We start from the raw sequence: 21,610 nt of genomic DNA on the forward strand, positions 1-21,610 counted from the left end.
ATCCACAATAGTCAAATATTTCAATGCCCCTTTCTGAATAATTTATAATGCAAATAAGCAGAAAATCAACAAGGTTATAAGAGACTTGAGCAACACTATCAACCATCTTGACCTGATTGACATTTATTAAACACTCCAATAATTGGCAGAATACACATGGTTCTTAAGCATATACAGAAAGTTTAGAAGATGGACAATAATCTGGACCATAAACAAATGTTAACAAATTCAAAAGGATTGAAGTCATGCAAGATACATTCTCTGACCACAATGTAATTAAATTAGAAATCAATAACAGACTGATTCTTGGAAAATCCCTCAAAATTTGGGGAATAAAATACACTTCTAAACAAGCCATTGCTATGGTCTGAATGTGTCCCCACAAACTTTCTATGTGACAATTTGCCAATGTGATAGTATTAAAAGGTGGGGCTTTCAGGAAGGAGGTGATTAGATTATGAAGGCTCTGCTCATCATGAATGGGATTTGTGCCCTTAAAAAAGAGTCTTTTAGGAAGCCTGTTTGTCCCTTTTGCCCGTTTTGCCCTTCTGCTATGTGAAGACACAGGATTCACCTCTTCCACCATATGAGGACACAGAAACCAGACACTAAATTTGTTAGTGCCTTGATCTTGGATTCCCCAGGCTCCAGAACCATGAGAAACAAATTTCTGTTGTTTATAAGTTACCCATTTGAAGGTATTTCATTATGGTAACCCAAATGGACTAAAACAGAAGTTGGTACTGAGAAATGGGGTGCTGCTGTAACGATTACCTAAAAATGTGGAAACAGCTTTGGAACTGGATAATGGAGAAAGGCTGGACTATAAAGGGATGCGATAGTGTGGGCTCAGAAGGAGAGAAGAGCTGTAAAAAAAAAAAAAGCCTCTGTCTTAAGTGGTCATGATCAAAGTGTTGGCAGTGAACGAAATTCTGATGAGGTCTCAGGTGGAAATAAGGAATAAAATATTGGAAACTGGACAATACGCAAACCTGGTTTTTAAGTGGTAAGAACTTGGTTAAATTGTGTTTGTGTCCTAATGTTTTGTGAAAGAAGGAGTCCAATATCCAGTCTTAATAGAAACCTCTCAGATAACTAGAAATAGCGAGGAACTTCCTCGACCTGATTAAGTATATCTACAAAAGACCTACATCTAACGCGATGCATAATGGTGAAAGACTGGATGCTTTCCTCCTTAGATCAGAAAAAGACAAGGATGTCTAGTCTCACCACATCTATTCAACATTGTACTGGAGTTTCTAGTTAGTGCCATCAGACAGGAAAAATAAATAAAAAGCATTCAGATTGAATAGGAAAAATATCTTTATTCCCAGTGGAGTGAATGTCTATGTAAAAAAATTCAATAAAATCTGTAAAAAGAGGCCAGGCGTGGTGGCTCACACCTGTAATCCCAGCACTTTCGGAGATTGGGGCAGGAGGACTGCTTGAGGCCAGGAGTTCGAGACCAGACTGAGCAACATAGCAAGACCTTGTCTCAAAAAAAAAAAAAAAAAAAAAGAATATGTGAAAAGAAAAATGCCATTAAAATTAATAAGTGAATTTAGCAAAGTTGCAGGATACAAGATCAACATACAAATATTGAGTGTAGGCCGGGCTCGGTGGCTTATGCCTGTAATCCCAGCACTTTGGTAGGCTGAGGCAGGCAAATGACTTGAGGTCAAGAGTTCGAGACCAGCCTGGCCAACACGGTGAAACCCCGTCTCTACTAAAAATACAAAAATAAGCCAGGCGTGGTGGTGCATTCCTGTAGTTCCAGCTACTCGGGAGGCTGAGGCAGGAGAATTGTTTGAATCCGGGAGGCGGAGGTTACAGTGAGCCAAGATCGTGCCACTGCACTTCAGCCTGGGCGACAGAGCGAGACCCTTTCTCAAAAAAAAAAAAAAGTATATATTGAGTGTAATTCCATATATTAACAATGAACTATTAGAAATAGAAAATCTTAAATGCATTTTATGACATCAAAAAATTAAATATTTAGACATAAATCTAACAAAAGATATGAAAGCCCTGTACATTAAAAACTGCAAAGTATTGCTGAAAGATATTTTAAAAGACCTAAATATGTAAAGGCATACCTCATTCGTGGGTTGGAAGACTCCATATTGTTAGATGTCACTTACTTCAAACTGATCTCATATATTCAAGTAATCCCAATCAAAACCCCAAAAAGTTTTTTGTAGAAATTGATAAGTTGATTCTGAAATTCATATGAAAATGCAAAGGACCTAGAATAGACAAACAACTCTGAAAAAGAGCAAAATTATGTTACTACAACTACCTAATTTCAACACTTATTATAAAGCTACGGTAATCAAAATAGCATAATATTAATAGAAAAATACACAAATATATCAGTGAAACAGGATAGAGTCCAGAAATAAACTCATGCATATATGGACAACTGATTCTCCTCAAAGGTGCAGGCATAATACAGTGGAGAAAGGGAAGACCATTTGATAAATATTTCTGAAATAATTGTATATAAATATGCAAAATAATGGATCTATATCCTACACCATATGCAAAAAATTAACTAAAAACATGCCATTGACCTAAATGTAAAATCTAAAACCATAGACTCCTAGAAGAAAACACTGGAGAAAATCTGTGGGTTAGGTAAAGATTTTAGACATGATGCCAAAAGCACAATTCATAAAATAATAAATCCATAAATTGGATTTAATAAAAATTAAAAACTTCTCTTTAAATCACCTTCTAAGTGATCAAAAAAGCCACAGACTGGGAGAAAATCTTTGCAAAGTATATATCTGGTTAAAAGACATATCAGAAATGTGTTTTAAACTCTCAAAACTCAATAATAAGAAAACAAGCCAGTTTTTTAAAACTGGGCAAAAAATTTGGGCAGGCACCTCACTAAGGAAGATATGCTGATATCAAATAAGCATCTGAAAATGTGCTCAACATCATTAGTCATTAGAGAAATACAACTTAACACCGCGGTGAGATACCACTACACTCCTACTGGTGTGTCTAAAAATTAAAAGACTGACCATACCAAGTGTCATTGAGGATGAGGAGGACTTGGAGCTCTCATTGCTGGTGGGAATGTAAAATGGTTCACAACTTGGGAAAATAATTTGGCAGTTTCTTATACAGTTAAAACACACTACCGTATGATCCAGTCATTCCACTTCTGGATCTTTACTAAAGAGAAAAAAAAAAAAACATAGGTTCTTACAAAGTCTTATGCACGAATGTCTATAGCAGGTTTATTTGTAATAGCAAAACACTGGGGTAAGAAAACAAATATCCATCAACAGATGAATGAAAAAAATTAGAATAGATTATTGTATATCCATACAATAGAACACTACACAGAAACAAAAACTAATAAACTATTGATACACACAACAACATGAATGAATCTCAAAATAACTATGCTGAGTGAAAGAAGCCACATTTTCAAAGAGTACATACTGTGTGATTACATTTACATAAAACTCCAGAAAATGAAAACTAATGTAGACCGAAGGCATGTGAGCAGTTCCTTAAGAATGGAAAGGGAACAGGGAGGGGCAGGAAAGATAGACTTAAAAGAGTGAGAAAACTTTGGAGGGTGATGGATATTTATTTTGTTGACTGTGGTGATGGTTCCACAGCTGTATGTGTGTATATAACATAGGTGACTTGCATGTGACTTTGTGCAGGGATGTGTGTGTCAAAACTCATTAAATGGTATGCTTTAAATATATAAAATTGGATGTCAGTTATACCTCTAGAAAGCTATTTATTTGGCTTTTTCTTGTTGCTCCAAATATGATCCAAATATGCTCCCCAAAGAATAAGATGTCCTGCTACTAGGTAATCCACATCCAGATTCCCCATACCCTTAATCAGAGCATTCCTGAAAGTTGCCCTTTATTTCACTATAAACCTTTCCCACTCCCTTTCCTGTCTTTGAGTCTCTGCCAAATGCTAAATCCCTTACTATGTATATCAGACTCTGAATAAATGGCCTTTGTTTATTCTCATTTGAGTGATCTTCATTTATTTCCTCTGTGTGTCTGTGTGTGTGTATGTGTGTGTGTGTGTGTGTGTAGTTTTACTATATTGTTGGGTTTTCTTTAATATTGGGAAAACCCATCTTGAGTACAACTATAATTTAAGATGCCTAAACTGGGATAAAATCATATGAATCTCTGGTTGGCTCTGGGGGGAAAAAAAAGTAGAGAAACTGGCAGTCATGACCAAATCCTGACCATTCTGGGCTAACTGCTGCAGAGGTTTGTCCAACTGTTCTTTGATTGTCCTTTGAATATTCAGTCTCTCAGCCCTTTCTCTTTTTTTTTTTTAAATGGAGTTTCACTGTGTTGCCAAGGCTGGAGTGCAATGGCCTGATCTCTGCTTACTGAAACCTCTGCCTCCTGGGTTCAAGTTATTCTTCTGCCTCCCAAGGAGCTGGGACTACAGACATACACCACTATGCCCATCTAATTTTTGTATTTTTAGTAGAGACAGGGTTTCACCATCTTGGCCAGGCTGGTCTTGAACACTTGACCTCAGGTGATCCGCCCGCCTCGGCCTCCCAAAGTGCTGGGATTACAGGTGTGAGCCACCGCACCCAGCCTCAGCCCTTTCTTTTGGTCATTCTTTCACTTCCAAGAGATTGACCAATTCAGAGAAGGCTAAATATCCATCCATATCTTTACCACTTGGGGATTCTCCAATTATCTCTATAGTCAACCATATTGCAAGATCTTGACCTTTTTGTTGTGTCATGATCATGACCACGTGATGAAAGAGCAGCTGCACAGAAATATATAGAACTTCAGATAGAATGCAAAGAACCTACATCATAATGACTATTGACATAAACAACAATAATTAACAGTCCCTGTAAGATGCTTCAGAAACAGGAACCCCAGCTGCCTAACCCAGGCCAAGAGAGTAATTCCTGAAGGCCATGAGGATCAATCTTACAGAGCCAATAAGCTCTTTTGTTCAGATGTTGTTTAGCCTGTCTTACCTTGTTTGTTTCACATGGCAAGAAGTATATATAACAATGGCACAGACACAACCATGACTAGCAAACAAGAAATCAAGAACAATGAAATTGTCCATCACTGCTCATGCCAATGAATTGGCATCGGTCTGTATTTCCTCCAGGGCGGAGGTGATATCACTAATAACTTCTGCCAGAGTTAATAATAAGTTTCTTACAGTCTCTTTCTATTTGTATGATTCGCAACATTGAGAAAACAGCTCTGATTGTTCATATAAACAGTGAGTCAGTAATTCCTTCAGGTAGAGTACTTGAATAATCAAGGTGGCCTCCTTTTGGAGTTTGCATCTGAGTCAAAATTTTCATCCTTGGTGGTTTATAGAATTAGAGTCTCTGTATACAGACAAGTCTTGGAATACCATTATTAAAGTGCATGAAGTGTTAGTCTGAGGTAAAGAGGATCATGTGTCCTGGGTGCAAAGGAAGTAATAGCGTTAGAGACACATGGAAATGCAAGAAAAAGATGTGCATGACATGAAGTCAGAACCAAGGCCTTTACGTTTGCTGGGTTACATATTTGGATATCTATTAGTCTTTTTCAGGTGACAGGTATTTGGCTCATCAACCTTCAAAAGTTGTTGAATTCAAATTTAGAATTACCTGGGATCTGACAAACAGATTTTAATACTTCATTATTTTTCTGGGAGAAAAGAAACTAGCAAGGTTATGGGTTAATTTTTCCAGTAGGTGCAAGTGAAACTGCCATAGGCTATAAGTCCCTGTGGTCTAATTTGATGAGACTGGAATTACCCACACGTTTTTATCTTGGGGGTCCAATGATGGATGACATATCCAACAGTCAGTAAGATTGATGGCAGTGGCTACTGTTTCACATAATCTGAGAATTGTGTTAGAATAAGTATATTCTGACCTGTCAACAAAGAGGGTACCAAAAGAAAAAAGGGATCGTTATGGTAGAAAATAACCAGTGGTCCATAGTTAACGAGAAGAATGATTATCAATAAGCAGGTCAAAAACAAAAGAGGAATTATACAGGGGTCTTTGTCCAATGTGTTAGGTAGAAGCTGTCCATTAAGAGGACATCTGCTTGTTTGAAAGGTCTTGGGTCAAATGTCTATTGCCAAAGATAGGCTGTTTTTGAGGATCTCTGAGAATTCTCAGCATGAGGTATCCTATGGACTAGTCTTCCAAAAGTGTGGAATTCTGGCTTGTTTCTTTAGTGGTGAAACATAAAGTTGAGGATTGGTCTGCTGCAGTTTCACTGCTGTATTTGTTGTTAACAGTACCTGATAAGGTTCCTTCCATTGAGGTTCAAGAGCAGTTTTTTATCCGATGTCTATTTCAATAGATGAAATTTCCTGATAGATGCTCCTGAAGAGCCAATGTAAGAAGATGTTGTAGCAAGGTGGCCTTAATTTATTGGTGATAGGACTGGGTATAGTACATGAGTCCCTTGCAATATTTTCCCATATCTGGATGCAGCATGGAAGAATCTAGCATCAGGATGAAATTTCTAAATGCTTGGGTCTTCCTGGTAGCAGTTCATAATCAATATGACCCCAAAATAATGGATTATATGGCCGTAAGAGCTCAGGTGATTACCTTTAGCAGGGAAGTGCAAGGATTTATGAAAGTTTTCTTAATTTGAATTTAAGGATGCCATTGGTTCTTTCAACCTTTACAGAAGTTTGTGGGTGGTAAAGGCAGTATAGTTTTTGAGAAGGGGTATCACCTTATTAAGTTGTTTTATAATGGTTCCTATAAATTGTGTGCCTCAGTCAGTTGACATAAAAGTTTGTATACCCTAGTTGGAAACATAAAATCAAGAAGCTTTTTAGAGACTGAAAAGGCTGGAGATTTTCAGCAAGAAAATTATTCAACCCATTCTGAAAATAGACAAATCCCATCTGAAAGTGTTCAAAGGGTCTTTGAGGCTTTGGTTCTTGGCCATGCCTCACCTTTATAATTTTTCCAGGATTATGTTGTTCACAAGTAACACATGACCCCAAAACAATCTCAGCTGTCTTTTTAAAGTTTTCTCACCAATGTTGATTTAAGATAGTAATCAATTTGTCTTTAACATAATGAGTAGCTTCATGGAGAAATTCAGCTAATACTCATTTGAAATCACTTGGGGCCACCAAAAGGCCATCTTGAGTTCCAAGGATTATCAGAGGTATGATTCATCAACAAATAACATAAGGTCAGGAATTTTTTTTTTTTGAGATGGAGTTTCACTCTTGTTGCCCAGGCTGGAGTGCAAGGTCCCAATCTCGGCTCACTGCAACCTCCACCTCCTGGGTTCAAGCAATTCTCCTGCCTCAGCCTCCTGAGTAGCTGAGATTACAGGCACCTGCCACCACGCCTGGCTAATTTTTTTGTTGTTGTATTTTTAGTAGAGATGGGGTTTCAGCACATTGGCCAGTCTGGTCTCGAACCCCTGACCTCAGGTGATCTGCCCTCCTCAACTTCCCAAAGTGCTGGAATTACAGGTGTGACCCACTGCGCCCAGACAAGGTCAGGATTTTCAATGAGAGTTACTAATACATCTGAGCAAAGTATTTAAAGTTCTCTAACTAAGGTAAGACATTCATGAGGTTCCCCTTCTTTTGGTAAGTTCAGGAGGATGGCAGGATGCAGCAGTGAATAGTAATGTGAGATGGAGAGTGCAGCTGGAACTCTTAGGAGGTTAATTGTGCCTCAATGGGTGGTAAAGTCTGTACTGCATGAGGAAACATCAGGTCAAGCAGGAAGCCTAGAACTAATTCAGCAGATTTGACCAGTTCTATAGTGGTGGTAATATCCTAAGACAATCTTGGATTTGCAACTGGATTGAGGGCAAGGCTATAGTAAGTGATGGGTTTTCAATAATTCCTATGAAGTTGAATTAAAATACTGAGGTTTGTCCAGAACACTCATGCACAAATAGACAAAAGTTTTAGTTCAGGATGCCTACGGAAGGAGGCTGTTGAAGAGCTGTCTTCAGATTATAGGAGGCTTTTTCAATACTTGGGCTCCCAGAAGAGAGGGAATGTTACTGAGGACTTAGCCATTTCATAAAGAGGTGTCACAATCTCAGGAAAATTTGGCACCCATTAACAAGAATATCCCATTAGACCTAGAAATCATTTCAACTGTAGTTTTCTGGGGATCTAGGATAAGTCTGGATAATACTTAGTCTGTTAGGAGAGAATGTTCTCCTCCTGCCCTAAATGAACTATGTTTTGGCAAAACTCTGTGTTTTAAAACTTTATGTCCCTTTTCTGCTAAGGCTGAGAGCAAGTGAGTGGAATCTTTTTACCAGCTTCTCTAAACAAGTAGGAGATCATCTACATGTTATATCAGAACTGGATCACCAGAGAAATTTGGATCTTTTAGTTCTTAATTAAGGGCATAGGAAAAATAGGAATGGGTTTCAGTAAACCCCTGGCACCTAACTGTTTATGTATGTAGTGTTGTCCTCTCAGATGAAGACAAAGGTATTGACTGTTCTGGTGTAATTTAACAGTGAAAAGGCAGAGCAATTATCCACTACACTGAAGCAAGTGGTTTGGGGAGGAAATGATGACAAGATAGTATTTGGGTTGGGCACCAAGGAAAAGTAAAGACAACAATTTTATTTGTGTCTCTGAGTTCTTGAACAAGTCAATATCCCTGTCCATTTGGTTTCTTTACTGGCAGGGCAGGAATATTACAAGGGGTAGTGCAGGTTGTAAAAAGGCCTTTGAATATAATGCCTTCAGTTATAAGTTTGAGGCTTCCTTTGCTCCTGGATTTAAGAGATATTGGGAAAGTTTGGGTAGCAATTTGGAAGGATGTATCTGAATTTTAATAGATTCTGCTCCAATTACTTTTTCTGTCAGTGGAAATTTTAGCCCATAGAGTGTCAGGTACAGCCTCAAGATCTTCATCTGAGGTATACAACAAGAACAGTGGAGAAGGCAAAGGTATATATAGACCAGATACAACTTGATTGTAAATAGAATCCTCTGAAACCTCAAGAAATCTTTCCTCTGGTATGCATTTAATATTACAATTGCATAGGCAAAGCATAGCTCTACCTATTAAGCTTGTAGCAGTGGTATCACAAAGCAGGAGAGAATATTTTTCAGGCAAGGGTCCAAGGTTATGGTTAAGTGAGAGAGATAGGAAAAAAAAATGTGTGGGTTACTTGAAACACCTACCACTTGTGTGCTATGTTAGGTCCAAGGAAGAAGTTGAGCAAAGATGGCAGGTTTAATGTAGAAAGACTAGTGTTGTCAGAAGGTGTTTTCTAGGCCGGACGCGGTGGCTCATGCCTGTAATCCCAGCACTTTGGGAGGCTGAGGCGGGTGGATCACTTGAGTCCAGGAGTTTGAGACCAGTCTGGCCAACATGGTGAAACCCTTTCTCTACTAAAACTACAAAAATTAGCCAGGCATGGTGATGCACACCTGTAATCCCAGCTACTCTGGAGGCAGAGGCACCAGAATCACTTGAACCCAGGAGGCAGAGGTTGCAGTGAGCCGAGATTATGCCACTACACTCCAGCCTGCGCGGGAGACTCTATCTTAAAAACAAAAAACAAAAAATTTTTAAAAATGGTATTTTCTAGTAGTCTACCCCCAACTCCAACTACCTCATTTAGTTACATATCTTGTTTGTTTCTTTGTTAACATGATTTAATTAAGGTCCAATCAACTTTTTTTGGAAATGTTTCACATATGTCTTTTTTGAAACTTTGATCTACTTTACTGGTTTTTGTCTTTTGTTTTGGGATTTTTTGACTCTCAGGTTTATTGTAGAGAGAGAAATCCTGCAGGTCTCTTTCTGCATCAGTTCAATCAGTCTTTGCTATCCAATATCTGATGTTTCAACCAACATATGCACAAATTGATATAGGTCAGGTACTCCTGGGTCATAGGCACCCAAAAAAATTCCAAATTATTCTACAACTATTTGCTCTTCTTTTTGGGTTTAGGGAAATCTTCAGTGATAGCTCTTAATTCATCTTGGGTTCAAGGTTTAAATTCTACAGTTGCCTACATACCTAGCTCATGGAAGGGATGCATCCTTAGAAGCAAATGGCATTTTGAGTTTTAAGAGGACTGTTGGGGAAGAAGGTGGTCTGCATGAGAGGAAGGCAAGGAAGGAGATGCAGAAAAAGAAATATCAGAAAAATAAAGACGAAGAAGGAAAACTGAACATAGAGTGATAACTGGAAACCAAAAAGGAGTAGAATTTACCAAGGAAATAATTCTACTTTGTTGTTGTTTAAGTCATCAGATTGCTCATTCACTTTAACCAAAGAATCTTATAGTGAAGCAATTTTAGAACTGAGTTTTATTTGTAGACTTTTGCATACCAATTAGAAAATTATCCATTACATCTGATAAATCATTTTCTCTTTCTTTTCTAAGGTGCTTCTCAGATAATTGTTTAAGTCCAGTGTTTCCCAGCATGGCCATTGAAAGCCCAAATAATCTTTGGTGAAATTATGCTATTTAGAGAGGTGGGCACTAGAATTAGAATTAGAATAAGTATATATATATAGGAAAAAGGAGTTTTTCCTGTAGGAGTGGAAAAATCTGACTTAAATGGTCCCATAAGAGCTGGCAAAAGTTAAAAGTAAAGCTTGTGTACTTTGTATCTTGAGCCCCCAACCTTGAGGATGAGTTGCCTCTAAATGCACACCTGACAATGTGTCTCCCCAGGCAAGTATAACACCAGAGAGAATGCTCTTTCTGGATCAAAACCAAATTCTCAGAACAAAAATCTAGATGAGAGGATAATCTTATCTAGTTTTATTGGTAACCCACAGCAAAGTTTGTCCAAATGAATGCCAGTCAAATGAAAACTACATTGGTCTGGGAGGACAGCTCAAATTAAAGGCTTATAGGGCCTATGCCTGTGTTCTACTCTATGACAACACTTCCAGATTGCACAATGCAAAACAGAAGCAGAAAAGAGAGAAAACAGAGATGAAAAGGAATAGCCTGACTCCACCAAAGATGCCAATCAAATGGGAAGTGATAACAAATCCTAGGTACCAAAGTGAGACTAAATAGCCAAAGAACTCAAAATCAAAGAGCAGAGTTCAGAACCAGTGCTGACCCAATGTGTCAATGCAGACTCAACTGTGTGCAGTGAGGCACAAGAAGCCTTGGTGGGTACTGCACCTGGCAGAGAACTGGGATCCATGGTGACATGCAGTGCAGACAGTATCTCTGTGGAAACTTCAAGAAAACTACAGAAACAAGTGAAGCTCACACAAATGAAAACAAACAGAGGCTAATTATTCAGAGCTTGCTCTAGCAAGGGAGTTGACCACCATCACTTCTGCTTAGTAGAGACTCAAAGGCAGGAAGGGGAGTGAGAAAACTTCATAGTTATAAAAGGGGAAGGTTTCAGGTATGCTCTGACTGGATCTTGCTGTTGGAAGCTGGAGGCAGGCTAAGTAGGAGCAGGGCATTTTGTGGTTTGGGAAGCATATTTAACTTTCTCTGATTGATCCTAAGTTGGAAGCAGGGGCAAAAATTGGGGAAATTGACTCATTGAGCAAGACCTAATTCTTTTGGGCCATTTGCTGCAGCAGTTGTAGTTTGATTTCTTGGACTGGTTGCTGCTAAAGTGTTTTTGTTTCCTGAGCTGATTGCTGCAGAAACTGTGGGTCAGAGTTAGTTGTATTGCTATTTATGGTCTGGCCATTGCCCACTTGCATATTTAGTCTCTCACAGTAGAATCCTGACATTGTAGATATTAAAAAAAAAAAACTGCCTTTAAAATCAAAACAATTGAACTCATGGAGAAAGAGAGTAGAAGGATGGTTACCAGAGGCTGGGAAGGGTAGTGGGAGAGCTGGGGGAGGAAGGTGGGGATGGATAATGGATACCAAAAAATGGAATGAATAAGGTGTAGTATTTGATTGCACAACAGGCTATAGTCAATAATAATTTAATTGTAAATTTAAAAATCACTAAAAGAGTATAATTGGGTTGTTTGTAACATTATGGATAAATGCTTGAGGTGATGGATATCTCGTTTTCCATGATGTGATTATTATGCATTGCATGCCTGTATCAAAATATCTCATATACTCCATACATATATACACCTACTAAGTACCCACAAAAATTTAAAATAAAATTCCTTTTAAAAATAAAGAAAAAAACCACCTACCTAATGGACCACATTTTATTTTTTAGCTATTGAACTAGCAGTCACACCATAACAGTATTTGTTCATTCAACACTTTAAACTTTTTAATGTACTTTCAAATACATCATTCTCCCTTTTATCCTTACAACAACCTTGTGATCCTGAGAGGTTAATTACTTGAGGTCACTGAATGACTTTTGGCTAGAATAAGGATTAGATAATATTACAGAGTGACTTGTAATATATAACTCAAATTGTTAGGTATAGATAATCCATACAAATGGCTTTAAAATAAATATTTTGGGTTTCATGCTATGATGAAGGATCTGTTCCATTTGCTTCCAATTTAGTTGCGTAAAGTTGAGATAAAATCTTGAAGGAAGGGTCATAGCACCATTTAAATACCCACAGGTCTGTCATGTGGAAGAAGTATTAGGTTTATTCCTATGACTCCAGAGGGCAGAACTAGTACAAGTGAGTAGAAGACAGGCAGATTTCAACTAAGAATATGAAATGTCTTTCTAATAATGAGACACTTGCCCCCAAAAGAAGGTGTTGACTTGTGAAAGAACCAGTTCCTCATCTCTTATAGTGTTTAAAAAGAACGCCATAATAGAACTCCATAATCCTAGAGACTCCTTTAACTGGTCACACCAGCTAACCTCCAGGACCTTCGTAGATTTCAAGTTTATGAAATGTTGTTGAACTTTGAAAAGAGGCACAGATATTTTGAATACAACAGTTTAAAGTCATTCAAATTCTGGATGAAATTATTTCGTTATGCTCCTCAAAAACAGTGAGTTCTATTTGAAGTTTTACCCCCAGACTCTCCTTTGAATTAGTATTTTTGCCCATATACCCATATATTTTCAAGAAATTTCTTTCTTTCCTTCCTTCCTTCCTTCCTTCCTTTCTTCCTTCCTTCTTCCTTCCTTCCTTTCTTCCTTTTGAGATAGGGTCCTGCTCTGTCATCCAAGCTGGGGTGCAGTGGGGTGTTCACGGCTCATTGCAGCCTCGACCTCCCGGACTCAAGCAGTCCTCCCAACTCAACTCCCAAGTAGCTAGGACGACAGGCATGCACCACCACGCCCAGCTATTTTTGTATTTTTTGTAGAGATGGGGTTTCATCATGTTGCCCAGACTTGTCATGAACACATGGCCTCAAGCTAGCCCACCTCCCACTTCAGCCTCCCAAAGTGCTGGGATTACAGGCATGAGCCACTGCACCTGGCCAAGAACATTCAAAACTTTAAAACTGAAAATTGTCCTAATAAGGAGTCTACTAACTTAATCTTCCATCAGCATTGTTTTCTGATTTCACAGAAAACTTTACAACAAATGTATTGCATTCATTCTTGATGTTTTAAGAAATTAAAGGAATTAGACAAGGTAAAAACAAAAACAAATCTATCTCTTTAAAGATGGCAAGGACTAGGATTTTAATCTGTAATCTTAAATTTTTGAAAAAGATCTTTTCCTTCTTAATGACTTCTTTTTAAATGGTCCTTCAGGTTGAACACAATTACATTCTTTTATAGTATACAGTAATGAAGCTGAAATAAAACAGTGAGTTCTCTTCCACACGTAAATTGTGATTGTTCAATGTTCTGCAAGGTCTTCTGATGGCCCCATTCTCACCCTGCTCCTTACCTGCCTCTTTAACTCTTTAAATCTAATCCCCTAATTTTTATCAGAAAAGTATTTCCTTTTTACGATAGGCTGTGGTTTCTGCCTTTAAAAAAACAATCCTGGGGTTTCTCTCAGAATCTGGAAGAAGTCATTGCAATGGTAAAGTAGGTAAGAGGCTGGGGTGGAAAGAAATGCCTTCTGCATAAATCTAGTTAGTCTGAGTCGTTTTTTGACAACTTCCGGGACCAGACTTCAGGCAGTGCTGGAAATTGTTCTCTTTACCATATCTTTTTTTTTTTAACTGTACATATTTACATACATACACATATGGTGAGGGAGAGAACGTGATGACGTGAGACTCTCCATGGAGAGTAGGAGGTAATAAAGAAATAAAACAGGTGTCTGAGGAGAGGTTCTATTAGAGAGGGGAGAATAGAGAGTAATTATCGTTCAGACAGGCAAGAGTTCTCTGCAGGTAGCAGCCTGGGAAAGCGAACTCGCGCACCCTCTTGGGGGACGGGCTCTTTTGCTTTCTATTTCTTCTCCTGCAGCCAGGGTGCACACGTATTTGAAACAGACCGAATTTCCTCCTCGATGTGGCGTCAGGTTGACTTTTCGAGACTAGCGGGTATTTCTTTTTAATGACTCCAATGCCTTTTTATTATTGCTGTTATTGAGGTTGAGGGAGAAGAGATCGGTCTAAATTCTGGCTGGGTAAGTGGGGGGATTCTCGGCGATGAGAAACGGGGGACTTAGAAGCCGGAGGAAAATCAGCAGCCCCACATCTCCACTTCTCCAGTCCGCCCTACTCTCCACCCGTGACCTCCAGTGGAGACCCCAGGCGGCAGCATCAGTATTTGATCGGCCCTTCGTCAGCACGCTGCCAGCCCTGGCCGGCTGGGTTCGCCAGGCATCACCCGCTCGGCTCTGAAGCGGACGCCTGGCCCTGCACCGGGCTTTGGAAGGACCCTCTCTGCGCTCGCCCCCTCCCCAGGGTGGCTCCGCTTTCGAGCCCGGGCGCGGTGCCCACCATGCGCGGCTGCCTGCGGCTCGCGCTGCTCTGCGCGCTGCCCTGGCTCCTGCTGGCGGCGTCGCCCGGGCACCCGGCGAAATCCCCCAGGCAGCCCCCGGCACCGCGCCGCGACCCCTTCGACGCTGCCAGGGGCGCCGATTTCGATCATGTCTACAGCGGGGTGGTGAACCTCAGCACCGAGAACATCTACTCTTTCAACTACACCAGCCAGCCCGACCAGGTAAGACACTCGCTCCCCTCGCTCGACTCCTAGAACTTGCCAGATCTCAGAGCCCCGTCGCTGCTTTGGAGTCCCCTGGGAATTGACCTTGGGAGACTTCGGGGACCAGGGGACTTTCTTTCCCTTTCTCCTCCGAAGCAATCGCTGCCCTGCCCTAGCTGCCTCAACACGCCTCGGGGACAACTCTGCTTCGCCTCGCGCCTCTCCTGGCCTGGTCAAGGGCATTGCTGGGCTTTGCAGAGGCACCAGTTCCCCGCACCGTCTGCGGGTCCTGGGTCCCTGCTGGGTCTTTCTCCAGGAAAGTCCTGATTTCTAGGGTTGCGGGGTGTGGTGTGGAGTGCGAAGAAGAACCGCACCTCGGTTCCTAATCCCCTGCAGGGAAGAAACCTAATTTCAAGTGGCTGATTCAGCCAGACCCTTCTATTTCATAGCGCATGGGGAGGGAGAACTGCTCAGAATCTAAAATGGAAATTGTGTGAAAATGGACGGAAGCTGCAGAACCTCTGTGCATTCAACAGTCACTTCCTGCGTTTTTGTGCCATTGTCACACGTTGTGCTTCAGAGACGCCAGAAGACCTGGGCAAAGACGTGAGAACTGCAGCCATCAGCTGATCAATCCAGGTTTTGATTTTAAATAAGGATGGATAATTGTGTGAAAGTTCTAGACCTATTTTTGACAAAAGTTGAGGGAAGATAAGGAGGGAAAAATGTTCCAGTGACTATCCCTTTGACATATATACTCCGATTATATAACGTAAGAAGATGCATATAGTTCATTTCTTTCCTCTAGTGTGGTACCTCTGGAGCACTGGGCGGGGAGAGAGAGGGAGACAGAGAGAGAAAGAGAGAAAGAGAGACAGAGACAGAGACAGAGACTCCCCAGTGTACCAACCTCTGGATCTTCTTCCCATATAAATGTGTTTATGTATCCCTTACTATACCAGCATCCCCTACCCTCTAGGGAAATTCCAGAACTAGATGATTGGGATACCATGATATGCCTCCGTCTGATTCTCACTCCAGATCGGAACTAGAAAACCTCATCACTTCCCAAAGTGAGGGTGGTTTGTATTGAGCAGGGGGGACCAATGTGCCTAACACTGCTCCTAGACATCTTCCAGCTGTGTGTAGCCAGAAAGTGCCCTGAGTGCCCCATCTCCAGTGTGGCACCAAATCCTATGGCACTGTTACCATGGCAGCACAGCCCTCACCCTGCTCTGTCCTCCAGTAACCTTCAGGTTATATGTTCTGTAGTGAGCAGAGTGGCTGTATGCAGAGCCATTTCATGGTAGACAAGGGAGAGGCTGCAGTTTTTGTTTCCCAAACGCCATATACCCAGCCTCTTTCTATCTAGCGTGGGAGAACTCATCGACTGGTTGACATGTTGCACGTGAGGTGTGTTCCTAGTCCTGTGATTGGCTGGGAGCAGAAAAAAGTCTGAAAACTCCATGATCTCTGGAGTAAGTCTCAGCTTCCCCCTAAATCATTGGTAAGAAAACTCAAATTACATGTGCTAAGTAAATCCTGACATCAGGCTTTGGTATTTCTTGCAGTTCTGCATAGAGATAGAGCATCTACTTATGAATTGTTGCCTTTACATTTTCCCCTTGTACTGTGTGAGTTTTGCACTTGAGATCACCTGGTTGACTTCCCTAGTAAACCTTGAGATATTGAGGGCAGGGGCAAAGTCATGTTCATCTCTGCCCTCCAGTACCTAGCACAGTGAATGGCACATAAGAGGTTTATAAGCCAGGCATGATGGCTCACACCTGTAATCCCAGCACTCTGGAGGACAAAGTGGGAGGATTGCTTGAGACCAGGAGTTCAAGACCAGCCTGGAAAACATAATGAGACCCTCTCTCTACAAAAAATTAAAAAATTAGCTGGGTGTGATGGCACATGCGCCTGTAGTCCCAGCTACTTAGGAGGCGGAGGCAGGAGGATCACTTGAGCCCAGGAATTTGAGGCTGCAGTGAGCTGAGCTCTTGCCACTGTACTCCCACTGGGGACAGAGTGATACCCTGTTTTTTCAAAATGTTTTTTTTTTTAAAGAAAAGAGAGGCTTATAAAAAACATTTAGTGTTTTCCAAAAATGAACAAATAAGTGAATAAAGGGTTATTAGCTAAGGCTAAATAAAATGAAATGTATACTGTTTTCAATTCAATAGTTTGGAAAATGTGAGATCATTTCAGATAAAAACATAAAAACAAATTTCTTTCATAAAACAAATTTGGTTTTTATAAAAACACATTTTAAAAATTGTTCTATTATGCCCTATTTTGTCTGTGTGTGTTAACATGTCCTTTATTTTATGAAACAGTTTTGAAAATATTTTTGAATGACACAGTAAAAGGTTGATGACCCAAGCAGTCCCTAGAATTTTTGTTAAAATATTACTAGTCTGAGAAATACAAAGTTGGGAACCATGGGAACAGGAGATAACAAGAATTTCAATTATTTTAGTGCCAGTATTCTCAATATAAGCCAAATGTCCTCAAATCTTACAGCCTTCTGGGACCAATCTTTAATATGCAAATGCTGTAGTGGAGCCCTCAAAAGCCACTTATTGTGGGAAATTAACCTCCTGTCCTACCAGCCAGTATTCCTGTTGCTTTCTCCAGAGAAGACATTTTCTTGATCTGTCTGTCCAAACCATTACCTTCGGTTCCTACTCTCTTCTTAGTTCTTCTTATCCTGCATAAGATATCAGCAGCCCCTTCTTGCAGGTACACAAGGCTGTTGGATGTAGCAGAATTTTACTGAAGGTTTGGAATAACATAGAGGAATGACATCACAGCACAAGATAGGTGATAGATTAAATCAGAAACCTAGGCCATACTGTTCCGACAATTTACCACCAGGGGGATTTCAAGATAGCGACGCTCTCTTTCAGGCGCTGGTTTGTCACTATCTTCTTGGCCATCCCCTCATACCTCCTCAAATGCTGACCCCCACCCACTAAATTTTTGTTACTCTCCCATGTTGTGCAATTTTTGCCATCATTGCTTATCCTACACTCACTAAGAGGCTCTGTTAAATAGAGATGTATGACCCCAGACCTACGATCTTTAGAGCAGAAGCTTGGACATGACTGGTTTCCCTTTAACCTGAACAAAGTCTTGATAAGGTAAGTCTTTCTAGCCTGCAGGGTCATTGCCCACCTCCCCTCTTCAGTGCAACAAAGAATTTGGTTTAGGGAAAAAAATGGCTAGTTTTTGAGCTTTAATCTTTGTTTTCCTCTTTCTTCAAGCCATTGTTGCTTGACATTATTTTTCCTGTGCCTTGGAGGAGAAAGTCTATTCTAAGTTTAGGCTTAAAGACAGGAAGCTGTTGTGGGAGCCATTGCTCCTAATCTTTCCTGTCAGCCACTGCATCTCCCATACCAAACTGTCCCAGAGAACTATTTTGCCAAGCTTGTGTCATACTAGTTAGCTGCACTCAGCACCAGGAAAAGTCTCATATGCCTTCCAGGCATAGGGTAATGTAAATATGAAGTTGCCTTCAAAAAAATCACTGAGAGAATGGAATGACTGCTTCAAATAAGAATGATGAAAATAATAATTGGAGGTGCAAGTTAGGCAAGATCATGATTCATTTCATTTCTCTGGAAGGAAGTGTCTGGAGACTCTCTTTAAGAGGAGGAGGGCTATACTGTGCAAACAGGGTGTTCTATAACCACAGGGCTCAGCCAGGCTAGAAGGAAACTAACTTGTTGGGAAAGTTGCCAGGGATATGTTTGACTGGGACAGAAGGCACAAATGCAGGTTTACTGGGAAATGAGAATACTCTTGTAGAGACAGTTGGCAGCAACAATCAGATGTTTCTATTTGAGCTAGATGGTGATAAGAAACCCTTAAATAAAATCTAACCACTGGGCAACAGGCTGTCTTCTCTGAGGTTTTCCTGTAAGAATTTAGTTTGCCATAGATTTTTTAATTTGAAATATCTCCCTGGAAGTATTTCTTTTATCTCATTTATTAACTAAGGCATTTATCTTTTAATGACATATATTATACTTTTCCATGCCCAAGGAACAACCCTCATCTTCATTAATATAAACCAGTAGTTGTATACCTAGAACCAGTTAAACCAGTCTCTTGGATCCAGATTCAAAAAGCCTACCCAGTCCTTAAGAACAATGAAATGCCCATGTGGACACTCCAGTGGTAACCTCTAGCTATATGCATTACTAATTATATGGAAGAATTTAAAACTTTGATATGATGGCCTGAGTTCTCCATGTCTCATATAGGAATGCTTACTCTTTATGTACTGAGGCCAAGAAGCCTCCTCTGCTGTCCTCCCACATCCTTTTGCTGAACTGCACTAGTGCTTGTTGGAGGAAAGACTCATCTCATTAGCACATTATCTGAATGATTGGACTGTCTCAGTCCACCTTGGCGGATATAACCGACCACCATTGGCTAATCTCATGTCTGGTGAGGCCCTGCTTCCTGGTTTGTAGACAAGCTCCTTCTTGCTGTGTCCTCACGTGGCCAAGAGAGCAAAGAGAGAAGAATAGTCTTTCACGTGTCCTCTTCTTCTTTTTTCTTTTCGAGACATAGTCTCGCTGTGTCACCCAGGCTGGAGTGCAGTGGCACGATCTCGGCTCATTGCAACCTCTGCCTCCCAGGTTCAAGTGATTCTAGTGCCTCAGCCTTGCTAGTAGCTGGGATTACAGGCATCCACTATCAAGCCTGGTTCATTTTTATATTTTTAGGAGATACAGGGTTACTCCATGTTGGCTAGGCTGGTCTCAAACTCCTGGCCTCACGTGATCCACCCACCTCAGCCTCCCAAAGTGCTGGAATTACAGGCATGAGCCACTGTGCCTGGCCTCATGCGTCTTCTTATAAGGGCAGCAATCCCTCCATGAACACTCCTGTGACCCAATTACTTTCCAAAGGCCCTATTTTCAAATCCATCCTATTGGGGATTAAGTTTCAACATGTGAATTTTGGTGGGGACACAAACATTCAATCCGTAGCAATCACCTCCTACATTTTTCTCAGAGACTGTGAAAACAGGGCATCAGTGTGTGTCATGGGTTGTTTAGGAGATAACATTACTCCAGTTATGGGTCTGATGTTATGGAGGAGCTGCCTTCTGCCTACGCAGACTTGATAATCAGGTGGTAAGTTGTGTGATGGATTCTGTAAGCCTGTGCTGTCCAGTGGCTATTGAGAACTTGAAATGTGACTAGTCTGAATGGAAATGTGCTGTTAAACATAGAATACATACCGGATATTGAAGACCATACAACAAAAATAATAGAAAATGTGTCGTTAGTATTTGTATGTTGTGTTTAAGTGATAATACTTTTGATGTATTAAATTAACTATAGTCATAAAATTAACTATATCTGTTTCTCTTTACCATTTTAATGTAGTTACCAGAAAATTTTCAAACACACATGTGGCTCACATTTTGTTTTTATTGAACAGCAGTTCTCCAAGTACTGTAAGATTTAAGAGAGAACATACCTCCTCCACATAGCTTTGTTGGAGGAAATGAGATTTGAGAAGGTTATGATAGGTAAGCAGTATTTTGGTCGGCAGAAAGAAAGGGGAAAGGCATTTCAGATACGGAAAAATATATCCAATTTATGTTTTGGCAAGACTACGTCAAAGGTGGTATGGTATATTTCTTCCAGAAAGCACATAATTTCTGATTGTGTCTTTTTTTTATGGTAGCCACCATTGATCATCATTGCCTAGTTCCATGAATTCATTAGGAGCAGCAAGATAATGATATTTTAATTCTCTTATTTATTTTTCATTTTATGAGCTGGAATACTTCTATAACGGGAAACTTCACCTTGTGGGCTATTTGGTTACCTTAAGCTATCGTTTGTAAAGAAAAAATGAAATAAATGCTTTATTTCTTTACCTTTACCAATTTTTAAAATAATGAGTTGGTCTCCTAATAGCCTATAATGATGATCAATGAGATTTTACTTAGCATAATCATGAGCTTATGCATTTAAACATATCTGATATATTTTATTCCATTACAGTTATTATCCTTATTTAAGTTTAAATTGTTCATCTTTGGCCAGTGAAAGGCAATTCAAGTTGGCTCCTGAATTCTTCTGGTAAAACTCAAGTGCTCTTTGACAGCTTCCTTGCTTTCTTGAATGAAGTTATTCCTTTCCCCAACCTGCAACCAGTCATTTCTGCAGGAAGGTCCAAGTCTATTCCTTGGAGCAATAGAGTTTTTAGAGACCACAGTCTGGGAACTAGGGGTCCTTATTAAGAATGGATTGGTAACATTTTCTAAGCCTTTTCAGTGGACATGCTAAGAAATAGATCATAAGTTTATACTATGACTTCCAATTCAAATTCAGAAATATACGGTTTTTATTTAACCTCATCCTTAATGGAAGATATCACATCCACATCTTCTTTCATTCATGCCAAAAATCCTAGTTCTCAACTAGATCAACTTAGTTACTATCTTAGTGTGTTTGTATTCCTTTGAGGTTGGGTAATTTATAAGGAATAAAAAGGTTATTTGGGGAGGCCAAGGTGGGTGGATCACCTGAGGTCATGAGTTCGAGACCAGCCTGGCCAAAATGGCGAAACC

General features: G+C 40.1%; 1 protein-coding gene across 28 annotated transcripts in view, besides 5 other annotated features; it reads left to right on the forward strand.

Annotated features, from left to right (window-relative positions):
* Positions 13,728 to 13,947: an enhancer, noted in NCBI's record as "active region_20257". NCBI's record gives its function as "activates an Ori minimal core promoter by ATAC-STARR-seq in GM12878 lymphoblastoid cells {active_cell/tissue: GM12878}" and the evidence as "EXISTENCE:reporter gene assay evidence [ECO:0000049][PMID:35858748]".
* Positions 13,968 to 14,157: an enhancer, noted in NCBI's record as "active region_20258". NCBI's record gives its function as "activates an Ori minimal core promoter by ATAC-STARR-seq in GM12878 lymphoblastoid cells {active_cell/tissue: GM12878}" and the evidence as "EXISTENCE:reporter gene assay evidence [ECO:0000049][PMID:35858748]".
* Positions 14,298 to 14,627: an enhancer, noted in NCBI's record as "active region_20259". NCBI's record gives its function as "activates an Ori minimal core promoter by ATAC-STARR-seq in GM12878 lymphoblastoid cells {active_cell/tissue: GM12878}" and the evidence as "EXISTENCE:reporter gene assay evidence [ECO:0000049][PMID:35858748]".
* Positions 14,336 to 21,610, forward strand: part of SIDT1 (SID1 transmembrane family member 1) — a 104,557-nt gene continuing 97,282 nt past the window's right edge. For all 28 annotated transcript variants that reach the window (NR_136280.2, NR_136282.2, NR_136283.2 and 25 more), the window contains exon 1: positions 14,336 to 15,024. Coding sequence is in view for 18 of the 28 variants with exons in the window: in XM_047448376.1 (XP_047304332.1) it covers positions 14,803 to 15,024 (222 nt within the window). In the remaining 10 variants the exon portion in view is untranslated. The remainder of the gene's footprint in view (positions 15,025 to 21,610) is intronic.
* Positions 14,898 to 14,947: a silencer, noted in NCBI's record as "silent region_14606". NCBI's record gives its function as "represses an Ori minimal core promoter by ATAC-STARR-seq in GM12878 lymphoblastoid cells {active_cell/tissue: GM12878}" and the evidence as "EXISTENCE:reporter gene assay evidence [ECO:0000049][PMID:35858748]".
* Positions 15,098 to 15,227: an enhancer, noted in NCBI's record as "active region_20260". NCBI's record gives its function as "activates an Ori minimal core promoter by ATAC-STARR-seq in GM12878 lymphoblastoid cells {active_cell/tissue: GM12878}" and the evidence as "EXISTENCE:reporter gene assay evidence [ECO:0000049][PMID:35858748]".

Source organism: Homo sapiens, chromosome 3, assembly GCF_000001405.40.
Source record: "Homo sapiens chromosome 3, GRCh38.p14 Primary Assembly".
In the NCBI taxonomy this organism is placed as follows: Eukaryota; Metazoa; Chordata; class Mammalia; order Primates; family Hominidae; genus Homo; species Homo sapiens.